This window comes from Homo sapiens, chromosome 10, assembly GCF_000001405.40.
Source record: "Homo sapiens chromosome 10, GRCh38.p14 Primary Assembly".
NCBI lineage: Eukaryota > Metazoa > Chordata > Mammalia > Primates > Hominidae > Homo > Homo sapiens.
This window is the reverse complement of record NC_000010.11, coordinates 7702089-7716347: the sequence shown is the minus strand read 5'-3', so window position 1 is coordinate 7716347 and position 14259 is coordinate 7702089. Positions and strand designations below refer to the sequence as shown.

Below are 14259 nucleotides of genomic sequence, written 5' to 3'. Positions count from 1 at the left end.
TATCAGTGCTGGTGATTCCAGCGTTAGGATAAACAGGGAATGATTTTTTAAATGAAATAAGTAAATACACTGGGCACAGAGGCTCATGCCTGTAATCCTAGCACTTTGGGAGGCTGAGGTGGGTGGGTCACTTGAGGTCAGGAGTTAACAGCCTGGCCAACATGGTGAAATCCTGTCTCTACTAAAAACGCAAAAATTAGCCGGGTGTGGTGGTGAGTGCCTGTAATCCTAGCTACTCAGGAGGCTGAGAGGGGAGAATTGCTTAGACCTGGGAGGTGGAGGTTGCAGTGAGCCCTGTCTCTCCTAAAAATACAAAAATTAGCCGGGCGTGGTGGTGGGTGCCTATAATCCCAGCTGCTCCGGAGGCTGAGGCAGGAAAATTGCTTAGACCTGGGAGGTGGAGGTTGTAGTGAGCCCTGTCTCTCCTAAAAATACAAAAATTAGCCAGGTGTGGTGGTGGGTGCCTATAATCCCAGCTGCTTGGGAGGCTGAGGCAGGAAAATTGCTTAGACCTGGGAGGTGGATGTTGCAGTGAGCGAGATCACGCCACTGCACTTCACTCTATCCAGGGTGATAGAGTGAAATTTCATTTCAAAAGAAAAGAAATAAATAAGTAAGCAAGGTGAGATGTTGCACAATCAGCCTAAGGGATTGGGGAGTTGTTGTGGATAGTCAGCTTGCGATATCAAATAATTGAAGAAAAAGATGAGCATGGCCTCGTGCAAAGCTTTGAGACAGAGCCTGCAGTGAGACACCGTGTTTACCTGAGGGTGCACTAGGATGGGAGCTCTGCGTTCCCTGCCGTATCTCCAGTGCCTAGAAGAGTTTCTGGTAGAAGTAAGTATTTGTGTGATGGATAAACAAATAAATGAATGGGTGATGTGGTCAAAATGATGGACAAAGATGGCAAAATGATTTTTTTTTTTTTGAGAAGGAATCTTGCTCTGTCACCAGGCTGGAATGCAGTGGCACAATGTCGACTCACTGCAACCTCCAACTCCCTGGTTCAAGCAATTCCCCTGCCTCAGCCTCCTGAGTAGCTGGGATTACAGGCACACGCCACCACGCCCAGCTAATTTACGTAATTTTAGTAGAGACGGGGTTTCACCATGTTGGCCAGGATGGTCTCGGTCTCCTGACCTCATGATCTGCCTGCCTCGACCTCCTAAAGTGCTGGGATTACAGGCGTGAGCCACCACGCCTGGCTGGCAAAATGATTCTTAAAGATAAAAGGACTGATTCACCTGCAGCAAGGCTAGAGGCATTTCCTCTGCTTGGAGCTTCTTCTCTCCATTCTCTACCTGGCTGAATTTTACTACAGTTGGTGCTCTGTATCCTCTGGGGTTTGGTTCCAGGATTCCCCAAGTATACCAAAATCCGGCGATGCCCAAGTCACTGTTATAAAACAGTATGGTGCAGTGGACCCTCCGTATCCACAGGTTTCATCCACAGTTGGTTGAATCTGAGAATGTGAAACCCATGAATACGAAGGCCAGCTGTAATCTACTTGGGCTCAGCTGACACATCAGTCCTCTGTGGGGATTTCCTGGACCCCCAGACAGGATGACACACTCGGCACTCGGAACTCCCATAGTGTTTTTTGTGTACCCTCTCTTCCGTATTAGCCCTTGCCCACTGCAGATATTGTTGTCACAGGTTCCTTGTCTGTCTCCTGCATGAGGCTGACGGTGTCCGCTTTTGTGTTGCTGCTGTCTCTGACAGAACTGGTACAGAGCTTGCATTTGATGCATTTTTGTTGAATGAACAAATGCATGAATGAAAGGAAAAGAACTTCAACTACAGGTGAGTTTGGGGATGTAAGAGAAGAGGAGAGGAGGAAAGAAACACGGCAGCATTTGGCCTAATAGTGAGCGTGGGCCAGGCACAGTGGCTCACGCCTGTAATCCCAGCAGTTTGGGAGGCCGAGGCGGGCGGATCACGAGGTCAGGAGATCGAGACCATCCTGGCCAACACGGTGAAACCCCGTCTCTACTGAAAAATACAAAAAATTAGCCGGGCATGGTGATGGGTGCCTGTAGTCCCAGCTACTCTGGAGGCTGAGGCAGGAGAATGGCGTGAACCCGGGGGGCGGAGCTTGCAGTGAGCCGAGATCGCACCACTGCACTCCAGCCTGGGCGACAGAGCGAGATTCCGTCTCAAAAAAAAAAAAAAAAAAAAAAAATAGTGAGTGTGCAGTGCAAGGAGTGAGAAGGTGAACATCCCTTTGAAGATTTTTTCCCTTTGAAGAGAAGCTACTTTTTGAGGGTGGCTTGGCATTCCCAGGTCTTACTTAGATTATAAGGGGAAAAAATAAACAAAGCCTAAGTGAAGTAACTGATGCTTAAGAAGACCCTATCGCAGCCCAGCATGGTGGTTTCAGCCCGTAATCCCAGTACTTTGGGAGGCTGACATGGGAGGATCGCTTGAGGCCAGCCTAGACAACAAAGCAAGGCCTTATCTCTACAAAAACTAAAAAAATTCGTCAGGCATGGTGGTGCACCCCAAGTCCCAGCTACTTGGGAGGCTGAGGCATTCCCGCTTGGGGCCAGGAGTTCGAGGTTGTAGTGAGCCGTGATCAAACCACTGCATTCCAGCCTGGGCAAAAAATTAAGACCTCATCTCAAACAACAACAACAACAACTACAATTAAAAAAAACCCCTTATCCCTACAAGTAGTCAGAATAAATCATTAAGGCAAATTTCAAACTTTTCCTTCTGCTTATATGTTAAGTTTCGTAACAAGATCACAAGATCACCAATATTTCTGTAGTTTCTCTCTTCACTCTTTAGAAAAAGCAGTGTTTATTTACAGAACATCCATCTACCTGCAAGACAGTGATGTAAGCACAACCAGCGTGGGATCACCCAAAACCCATTGGTTGAAGAGGGACCTTTAGGCGAATAGAAACTGCAGTGCCTAATTCTAACATCTGGCTCTGAGGAGGTTGCCATTGGCTCAGGTGCTGTGCCTTTCCAGAGGCTGCTTTGCTGCTGTGGGAAGGAAGTAGGAGAGGAAACCGTCATTGAGAGGCAAGGGCAAGCCTTGCTCACTCAGGCCTTACCTCACCAAGCCAGCCGTCTTGCCTTTTGCTCTGGCCTGTGCATAAAGAGCTCGGCCCACAGTTTTCTCCTTAATAGAGCTCCTAAATGTCTTGCCGTCCACAGTCCTAGAAAATGACAGAAGGTAACCAGTTGGTCAGAATAGTAATCTTTTTTTTTTTTCCCCTCGAGATGGAGTCTTGCTCTGTCACCCAGGCTGGAGTGCAATGGTGCAATCTCAGTTCAGTGCAACCTCCACCTCCTGGGTTCAAGCAATTCTCCTGCTTCAGCCCCCTGAGTAGCTGGGATTATAGGCGTCTGCCACCAGGCCAGGCTAATTTTTTGTATTTTTAGTAGAGATTGGGTTTCGCCATGTTGGCCAGGATGGTCTCGATCTCCTGACCTCATGATCCACCTGGCTTGGCCTCCCAAAGTGCTGGGATTACAGGTGTGAGCCACCGCGCCTGGCCCAGAATAGTAATCTTAGCAAAACAAACAAGAGCGAGCAAACAACCCAACAAGGCTAATTTAATGAATGAGGGCAATGATCATTTTGTGTCTATAAGAAATAAGAAGGGAGGCATTCAAATAGTTTATGGACAGGACTTCCTTTATTGATTGGATAGTGTGGCTTGAGAGGGGTTTGGTAGGCTCCCATCCTAAAACCTTTCCCTCATGTACTGTTGTTTGTTTATAGATTTTTCCTCATCTTTGAATTTCATCCTTTAGATTAAGGATGGTTCTCTTTGGGTATCCCCTTTGAATGACAAATGTGATTAGGGGAGGTGACTGATAAATTCCGAATTATCTCATTACTGGTTCATCAGGTCATTCTGTGAGCTAAGAATTTGGCATCGCTGTGGGGTATGCAATGGACCGAATGTTTATGTTCCCCGCAAATGTGCATGTTGAACCTTACTTCCTAGGACGATGACATTACGAGGTGGGGCCTTGGAGAGGGCTCTCTCCTCATGAATAGCATTTAGTGCTGTCATAAAAAACAGACTTCGAAGAGCTCTCTCATCTCTTTCCATCTTGACTGAACCAGGAAATGGGCCCTCACCAGACACGAAATCCTTGGGCATCTTGATCTCGGACTTCCCGGCCTTCAGAACTATGAATTTTAAATTTCTGTTGTTTATAATCTACCCATTTTATGGTACTTAGTCATAGCAGCCGGAGCTGATGAAGACAGAATATTATGCTCCTCTGCAAGGGTGGAAAAGAATAAAGAAAAAGGGGGAAGGTGCTGGTGGGTCCCCTGCCAAGGTGGTGTTTATCTGGAAACCATCTCCCTTGGGGACCTCTGTCTTCTATTTGCATCTCATCTCTATACACCTTACCTTTAGCTGGCTAGCACCTAATCCTTACCAAGTAATGGTTGGTCAGAGTGGTAGAATCCAGAATTTTGGAAGTACATGGGAACTTCCAGTACTCAAATGGGCAGTGTCTTTCCCAAGGAGCAATTTGGAAATGTGTGAAGTTTGGGTTGTTGAGATGACTTGGAAGTGCTGCTGGCATTTGTGGGAGGACACCACGAATGTTAGTCATCCTGCAATATGAGGGACAGCTCCACTGAAGAATTTTCCTGCCCCAAATGCCAACAGCACGTGTGTTGAGGCACACTTGTGGGTTTGCCCCTTTAGATGAGAGACATCAGACCCCAGGAGACAGGTGACTCTTGCCAAGGTCACACTGCTGGTCAAGGCCATCATGCTTCTATCGAATCAGAACTAAGTCTCAAAGGCCAAGGGGTCTTTAGGACAAAGGAAATCATCTCCCATAGAATATTCAAGATCTTGATAAAAAGGTAAAAGGGATATTTTGGCTAGTACATAGGTCTACACAGCTCATTTTAAGTTGTGATAATTAAGCAGGTATCTTCTCTGGTCTTATAGATTCAGCTCAGAGCAGAGGGAGATAAAAGTAAATGCATGTTTCACGATTCTGTCCTTTGTACTTCAAATCTTCTATGTAATGAGATAGTAAAGAAAGAACAGAATGAAGGACGGAATAGTATGCAGCCATAAAAAGGAATAAGATCATGTCCTTTGCAGGGACATGGTTGAAGCTGTAAGCCATCTTCCTCAGCAAACTAACACAGGAACAGAAAATCAAACACTGTATGTTCTCACTCATAAGTGGGAGTTGAACAATGAGAACACATGGACACAGGGAGGGGAATATTACACACCGTGTCCTGTCGGGCGGTAGGGGGCAAGGGGAGGGAGAGCATTAGGACAAACAGCTAACGCATGTGGGGCTTAAAACCTAGATGATGGGATGATAGGTGCAGCAAACCACCATGGCACATGTGTACCTATGTAACAAACCTATACATTCTGCACACGTATCCCAGAACTTAAAGTAAAAAAGAAAAAAAAAAAAGAAGGAAAACAGAAATAAGAGATCTTTTGAGTAAATTCTGATTGTGTGGTTTAAAAATAGGAATTTATTAAAATAGTTTTCAATGTCATTTCTAGACATGGGGTCATATAATACCAGTACAGAAAAGCCTTTCCTTCTCCCTTTGCTTTTTAGAAAAGGCAGACAAAAAAAGTGATACATTTTAAAGCCAATTCAAAGGATACCAATTAAAGTGACACAATGCCTTTTTCTGCCTATTTGGTTAGAGTTCACATGACTGCCACTTTCGGCAGCCAAAGTACATGGTGGTTGAACCCTTTACTATTTATCCACAATGATCACTGATTACCTTGGTGTATGAAAGACAAAAGTGGATGAGAAGTAATTCAACCTAATGTCTTCATAAAAAAAAAATAGCCAGACTTTATGCACAGTACTTTGCTGTGTTCTTGGCAACTTAAGAGGGACATTGACCACCTGGAACATACTCTGGGTTGGCCACCTTGATATTTGGACATAGAAATCATTCCAATCACTTAGAGGAACAGAGAATATTTAACTTTGATACATGAAGGCTCCAAGTGGATAACTGGTATTAACTGTTTGGAAAGTATTGGAGTAGTTTAACCTTCTTTTATTACGAAAAATTTCAAACACACAGAAAATAGAGGGAATAATATGAGATGTCCATGAAACCATCACTGAGCTACACCATTATGAATACTCAGCCAATCTTAATTTGTCTGTACTCTCATGCTTTCCACCTTAGTTGTTAAGAAGCCAAGTTCAAGGCCAGGCACGGTGGCTCACGCCTGTAATCCCAACACTTTGGGAGGCCGAGGCGGGCAGATCACGAGGTCAAGAGATCGAGACCATCCTGGCTAACACGGTGAAACTCCGTCTCTACTAAAAATACGAAAATTAGCCAGGCATGGTGGCGGGTGCCTGTAGTCCCAGCTACTCAGGAGGCTGAGGCAGGAGAATGGTGTGAACCCGGGAGGCGGAGCTTGCAGTGAGCCGAGATCACGCCACTGCACTCCAGCCTGGGCGACAGAGCGAGACTCCATCTCAAAAAAAAAAGAAGCCAAGCTCAGATGGCACATCATTTCATCTATGAACACTTCAATATGTATTTTGTAGAGAGCTTTTTAAAAATTCTATGTGATTATCACTAGAGTCATTGGGTAGAAAGTGGAAAATATTTGAAGTATAAGAAAGGACTCTTAACAGAGCTGTCAATCACTGAGTTGATTGCCTTGGGAAAAGTGAGTTTATCATCAAGGAAATCATCACACACTTGTCAGCGGTGTTATAGAGGAGGTCAAGCACTGGATAAGTAATTAGATTTAATCTGTGGTTCTCAACTTGTTTTTTTTTTCCCATAGAGAAACATATGGCAGATGGCATTGACCTGCTGTGCACACGCTCTTATGTGGTTTCCTATAAGCCAGGGCAACCCAGTATATTTTTCTCCTCCCTAGAAAGTATATTAAAATGCAAGTAAGTATGAGGTTGTTACCACAGAGATAGCCTTAAGTTTGCTTTAGCTTATTAGAAACAAAAAGCAAATAATTCACAAGTTCTAACGCTTTGAAGAGGAGAAAATTATTGGGACCAACCTCACAATGACCCTTGACATCCAGCCGGTCCTCTGGGACAGTTGACCACTAAAGTCCATTCTAACTATGAGGGGTTTTGATTCTGTGAGTAGAGCACCTACAATTTCTGGCTCTACACAGAAGTTACTCACATGGAGAAGTTGGAAATGAATGCTCCTTTGGGGATCTGAACATCAAACACGACATTCTGAGGCTGCGGGGAATTGTTCACCACTTTGCTCTGGATCATGGTGGTGGCCATCCGAGAAGTAATAGTAGACTGGACTTTATAGCTATAAAGAGTTACTTGATCAACCTCTTCCTGAAATTGGCAAGAAAGCATAACTGTACTGATAGAAAAATCACACAGAACTTCATCAAATGTAGTGCATTTGATGTTAACAACACTACATTTTACTTGTTTTACTAGCAGAACAATTCCAGGGCCTTGGTAAGGACAGAATTCATGTATGGTTAAGCATTCTCCTAACTTCTTGGAACCCGCAATGAGCAGAAGTCTGCCTTGGTTTCAAGATACTTTGAGCTAAAAGGCATTTTTCAGCCCTATGAGTCTATAAATAATGATTTTTCAAAAATTAGAATACAAGTAGAAAACGGTGTGGGAAGCCAGATTGGATTGAGGAAGTCCAGGTAATAACTCCAAATGCAAGACCATCAGCTGGGGAGAGGATACTGGATTGCGAGGTTGAAAGAGGAACTTGGTTGTATCTTTAGTAGGGGTCACACAGGGGTGCTGTGGGGTGGAAACACACATATGGCCTCCACCAACCCCCCCTTACAGCTCTCTACCTTCTTTAATCTCCTCTATTACAATTTCATCTGCAGTCCTTTTCTCCTCCCCCAAGTCAAAACAAGCTAGGAGAACAGTGACGGGTGTAAGCAAGAGACATTGATCTTGGACAGGGCATTCTGATGCAAGTATTGGTCCAACACTCTGGACCTCCTTACCCGATCACTACTGATTTAAAGCAGCTCCTGTGTGAAGAATCACATATGTAAGTGTGCTCAAAGGCAAGGTCCTAGAAACCCACACCTTTCAGGAGGTGACTGAGAGCTGCAAGCTCCTTCAGGTCTATGGACAACTATGAGACCCATTAGATTTTGCTTTTTTCTCCAAAAGAATTTACTTATCTCAATACCAGGTCTCATTCCCCAAACTTTGTAGTCCAACATTAAACCTTTCGACTAATTAACCATGCAACTCACCTCAAGCTAAAATAAAATCCAGGCTAATCTATGTGTCCTTCCTCCCCCTGAAGTGTGCACTTCTGGCAGTTTCTGCCAATTCAGGGCAGGAAGCACAACATAAGCCACTTGTCCTCAGGCTGTTTTCTTGCCACAGGATGGTCTACTCTGAACATCTCAGGGAACTGGGCCGTTTTGTGTTTAAAAGTTCCTTTCCACGGGCACTCTTTTATTTTCCAAAGCTGTCAGGTGTCATACTTTAAATCAAAATGGTGCTGGAAGCAATGGCTCATGCCTGTAATCCCAGCACTTTGGGAGGCTGAGGGAGGTGGATCACCCGAGGTCAGGAGTTCGAGACCAGCCTGGCCAACATGGTGAAACCCCATCTCTACTAAAAACACAAAAATTAGCTGGGCGAGGAGACATATGCCTGTAATCCCAGCTACTTGAGAGGCTGAGGCAGAGAATCTCTTGAACCCAGGGGGCAGAGGTTGCAGTGAGCTGAGATCATGCCATTGCACTCCAGCCTGGGCAACAAAAGTGAAACTCTGTCTCAAAAAAATAAAAATAAAAATGAAAACGTAAAAATAAATACATAAATCAAAAAGGTTGAGTAGGAATAAATACATAAATTTATACAGTGGGAAGGAACCTATGATATATGGCAAAACTCAAGAAAATGAAGAGAAGGGCCCCTTCAGCTCTTGGTGGCCTCTCTCCTGTCTGTAAAGACTGCACTCTTCAATGCTGAATTTTAGAAACACTTGCAAACAGTTGGGCAAGGCAGTATTTCGAAAGTCAGGTAAATACTCGGTGATGAAGAAAAAAGAGACACCCAGATTGATTTCCTGGTAATTATTAACAGGAAAATCATTCAATCTGTAACAACATCAAGTCAACTTACCATCATTTCTTCCGATTCTCCTGGAAGGCTTCTCTGTGAAAGGAAGTTAGACAATCATTCTTCAACTGTATGTCACTTATTACCTTGAGAGCCAAAACCGTTTTCTCAGTCAAAAAAGAAATTTTATTTTTCTTCAATACTGAGCTGTTATTCATTCACTGGAGTTGAGACATAAATATTGAATATTCTTGAAAACTATTTTCCCACTGGTGAGTTTCTCAATAAGTTTCTCAACCAGTTCTGGTGGCGTGTGTGTCATTCTTGGATATAATGCTAGAACAAGTAATTTTTAAATAAAAATATTCAACCAAATGCATCCTGGGTAGCGTATATCCCCTTGATGCTATTTGCTCTATTTTTTACTCAGTTGAATGGAGACTTTGATCCTCCATTCGGCCATGAGGCTGTGGGCATGCTGTTCCCACTGTTTGCAGTGCCCCTGCTAGGTTCCTCAACCCCCATATGGAGAACTCCTACTCACCCTTCAGATCTCAGCTCCAGCAGAATTCCTCCAGTGAAAATCTCTAACACCCCAAGACTAGGTCGGTTTCCTTTACTAAGTGTTTTTGCAGCAGCATATTCCTTCCTGCAGAGTGCTCACCTTGTTTCATAATGATTCATTCTATTTGAGGGATTATTTGACTAAAGTCTGTCTCTTCCTTTAAACTAAGCTACATAAAAGCAGGGATTTTCATGTATTTCCTCCACAGTGTAACCCCTGAGGCAAACACAGTGACTGGCACCTAGAAAATTCTATGCTTTTAACCACCATGCTAGGAGATTATCCATACACTTGACTGTCCTGAGGAAATGAACAAAGGCGATTCCCTTGCCTTTGAAAGTGAATGGCTTAAGGGTGGTGGGTGAACATGTAATGTTTGGTGAGCTGTTAATAATAGATCCAAGAAGTCGGGTGTTGGATATAAGCTCAGCTTGCCTGATTCGGGGTGAACTGAGGTTCTGTGCTGTGTGACATGGTGAGGTCAATGGTTGACCTCTTCTTGTAGACTTCTTGAATGCAATGCTCAATGACAAATTTTTCTCTCTTGTGGCTAAATAAATTGTGACATGAAGTCTTGCTTATTGGATTTTAATATTATTAGTCTACAAAAAAAAATCCTGGATTTTCAGAAAGTAAAAAATTCACACCCATACAAAATAAGACATTGATCAGCTTAGGGTTGCTGCTTCCGTAAATACCTCCTCTCTCAGCATGTGGGCTCCGTGGGGAAGAAGCCAAGCCCTTCCTGGTGTTCTGGAAAACTCACCCCCTTAATTAGAGGGTTTTGTCTATACTGCTGCTGGTGGCCGCCAGGATTGCAACTTCCAATGTGGCCAATTCTCCTTCTCAGGTGCCCTCAGAGTGACCAGAGGAAGGAGATTGTGAGGCTGCAAGGGGGAGTGTCTGTCATCGCTAAAATAAGAAAAGTCTTCCTAACAGGAAATCCTTCCGGCAAGGCAGGAAATAATTTCGGAATCTTAAGTTTTGAAGAAAACACATAGCCATGTATTCTTTTTTTTTTTTTTTTTTTTAAATGGAGTGGGGACAGCGTCTCCCTCTGTTGCCCAGGCTGGTGCAATCATAGCTCACTGCAGCCTCGAACTCTTGGGTTCAAGTGATCCTCCATCTCAGCTTCTCAAATAGCTGGGATTACAGGTGCATGCCAGCTAATATATATATTAGCTGGGTGGCAGAGGTAGAGCCTCACTATGTTACCCAGGCTGATCTGGAACTCCTGGCCTCAAGTGATCCTCCCTCCTTGGCCTCTGAAAATGCTGTGATTATAAGTGGGAGCCACTGTGCTGAGTCGTGTACTCTTTAAGGGACTAAATTGAGCATTATGGTGTGAAGGCTGCTGAGCAGTTGTGTGAGTTTCTCTTTTTATTTCACCTGGGTGATCTCTTCCACCAAGGTGTAAGAAGTCTGGACTCTTCTGTGCTAAAAAACAAACTCTTAAGAAAATCTAGCAGAAGGCATCTTAACACTTGTCTTCTTCTGCCATAATCTCTTTCACTTTTTTTCCCCCTTTTGGGAGTAAACCTTACTATACCTGATATCTCCGGTTCTCTGCCACCAATTGAAATTTGCCTGGGGCCAGTTCCACAAGATCTTCATAGTCTACAAACTTAAAAAAAATTAGGATTTTAACTTTTTTTTTTTTAATTATACTGTAAGTTCTGGGGTACATGTGCACAACGTGCAGATTTGTTACATAGGTATACATGTGCCATGTTGGTTTGCTACACCCATTAACTCATCATTTACGTCAGGTATTTCTCCTAATGCTATCCCTCCCCTAGCCCCCCACCCCCTGACAGGCCCCAGTGTGTGATGTTCCCCTTCCTGTGTCCATGTGTTCTCGTTGTTCGACTCCCACTTATGAGTGAGAACATGCGGTGTTGGGTTTTCCCTTCTTGTGTTACTTTGCTGAGAATGATGATTTCCAAAAGATCTAGAGCCAAAGAGATAGCTGTTGGTATTCATTATTTTATATTCTTTCCTCTACCTCTGGGCAATCACAATTTTGTATAAAATGATTTCTTTAGTATATTTCTATTTGCTGGTTACGTCTCAGAGGTGTCCAAATGGAGGGTAACAACACCTTCGCATTTGTTGGACATGGGAATTCATTTTTGAGTTTGCCAGCAGGTGGTAAGACAGAGATCAAAACAACCCAGTGATTAGGTGGGTGTCTGGGGAAGTATCTGGGTAGACCCTGGAGGCATTTGCAGTGTCTGACTGGACAGACATGAACCATACATCTCCCCAAGTTAAAAATGTAGGTATTTTCTAAAAGGAAATGCCAGTTAGAAATGACTGAAAAAGCACAAACACATTTGGATGTCTTGGCTTCAATTTGAGATTTCTAACACACTCTGGTGGCTTTTAAGTGTTGGAAAATATGATAGTTTCAAAGCAGACAGAGTGATATTTTCCCTTTGTAAATATGCCGTCATATTCTCTGGCATTTTTATAGGTAATCCACTCTGCAAGTATTATAAGCCTTTGCATTTGCTGGGATGTTCCCATAACATGCTTCGCTTTTCTGGCATAAAAATAGCTCTTGTATGACTTTCAGAAACAGACTTTCAGTCCAAGACTTTCCTTACATTGGAGATGGCTAAGGGACAAAAGTGGAGACCTGTACTCCATGGGAATTATTCTTGTACTTTTCCACCCTGCCTGCTATCTTCCGCTTTAATAGGAATACTTAAAGTGCTCTTATTACAAATATCACTGTTCACTTAGATATGAAAAACAGTGTGCTTTGATAATGACTTTTCTTATACTCTTAGTAAAAGAGTGATAATATTTCTTCATCATCATAACAGCTAGTAATTATTAAGCACTTACTAGTCCAGGCGCTCTGCTAGAAGAGTTTACACTGTGTCATTTAATTCTCAAAGCAAACCATTGGGTTAGGTCTATTCTTACCCCCAATTTTTTAGGTGAGGAGTGAGCAGCTCTGCTCCATAAATGCTACGCTCTGATGCCTGCCCATTGATCTTGACTTAATTTTCATGCAAAACCTGTTAATGCTTTAAAAGGTAAATATACATTCCAGTAATTATAACAGTAAACACTTGCACTCAGATGAATTTTATCTTAAGTTTCCATTACACACAGAATAAGGCCATTGAATAGCGATTCCAATAGATGATTTACTGAGCTCATGAACAAGCCAACAGCAAGGAGTGATCTGTAAGTACTTACTTCAGAAAGTCCATTTATGGGGATTTCGAAGCCTGATACTTCAGAAAGAAAGAAGCAGATGAAAAAGCACGTGAGTCTTTTCATTTTGCTGGACAGTTTTGCCAAGCTCCCCAAAGCAGATGGTCTGGGGAGGATATCACTTCTTCCTACTGAACCAAGTTCAAAGGAACAGCAGAGGAGTACAGTTCGCTTTAAGAAAGAAGAAAAAAGAAGAAAAAACTCTCTAACTTTGTTCAAAATTGGGACAAATATTTGTTCTGGAGCTCAAACTTGAGCTGTGTGGGTGGATCGAACACCCAGAGGTTATTCAAACAGCAAAGTCAGAAGCAGTTGCTTACTGTGAGGACAAGTCAGGGGCAGATGGATGTGCTTGAATGTGCTTGTGTGCTTTTATTTTATTTTTATTTTTTATTTTTTGGCTTTTGCTGATTTCTATTGATCTTAAAATCAGAGAGACCTACAGATAATTGTCATCCTTTCTAAAGGACCAAGTGCAGAACTATTCCAAGAAACAAAATCCTTTGATCTAAATGAAAGCAGGAAAAATTTAGAAAAAGTGGGAGAAGACACAGAAGGGTTTTTCTGAGCAAAGAATTCATTGTGCATGTTTTCCCCTATCTCTTTGATGACTGTCTACCTGTTACCTATAAAGACCCAGGCAAGTGGCTGTGCAGGATACTAGGGCAGATCTTCAGTGAGAATGCTTCGTGAATGTCTTTGATTAAGGTAACAGTGTCTGTCCTGCTGCCCCTATCAGCCGGGCTCAGGTCAGTGGCAAATCAATACTCCCCAGTCTCAGAATTGGAGTGCAGTGGTGAGATCAAAGCTCATTGCAGCCTCAACTTCCCCCGGCTCAAGCAATCTGCCCACCTCAGCCTCCAGAGTAGCTGGACTACAGGTGTGCACTACACTGCCTGGCTATTTTTTGTAGAGATGGGATTTCATCATGTTGCTCATCCTGGTCTTGAACACCTGGGCTCAAGCTATCTGCTTGCCTCAGCCTCCGAAACTGCTGGGATTCCAGATGTGAGCCCCCATGCCTAGCCTCCATCCTGGTCAGATTCTATTTTTCTTGCAACAAACAGGAAATGTAACTTCTTGGATGCAACACTGAAATAGGAAGCTCCAGCTGTGGGCAGAATTACAATACAAGGGAGGTTGTCTTATCCTCAGGACCAAGCACCCCAGGCCAACTTCTGGGATCCTGGAGCTCCTTGCTACATTTAAAGCCCAATTCACAGGGCATGCAACAGAGAGTTTTCTGCATTTTCCTCCCTAGTTTCCCCTCAGTCTTCGAAATTGCACAGCCGTGTGTCTGCTGGAGAAACATAACTTCTGAAATAATGGAAGGGAGAAAACAGATTCTCCCCTCCCTTGCCTAGGTTGGACTAGTTGAGCGCCCACCTTGGCCAGTGAGTGCCTCAGTGGAC

The 14259-nt window shown here is 43.5% G+C and overlaps 1 protein-coding gene across 1 annotated transcript in view; it reads right to left on the bottom strand.

The window, feature by feature from the left end:
• ITIH2 (inter-alpha-trypsin inhibitor heavy chain 2) overlaps positions 1 to 13032 on the bottom strand; it is a 46205-nt gene extending 33173 nt beyond the window's left edge. Inside the window, exons 1-5 of the mRNA NM_002216.3 lie at positions 12830 to 13032; positions 11166 to 11240; positions 9115 to 9147; positions 7157 to 7326; positions 3063 to 3167 (exon numbers count right to left, since the gene is read on the bottom strand). Coding sequence (NP_002207.2) covers positions 3063 to 3167; positions 7157 to 7326; positions 9115 to 9147; positions 11166 to 11240; positions 12830 to 12913 — 467 coding nt within the window. The 5' untranslated portion in view covers positions 12914 to 13032. The remainder of the gene's footprint in view (positions 1 to 3062; positions 3168 to 7156; positions 7327 to 9114; positions 9148 to 11165; positions 11241 to 12829) is intronic.
• Positions 13033 to 14259: the final 1227 nt, after the last annotated feature.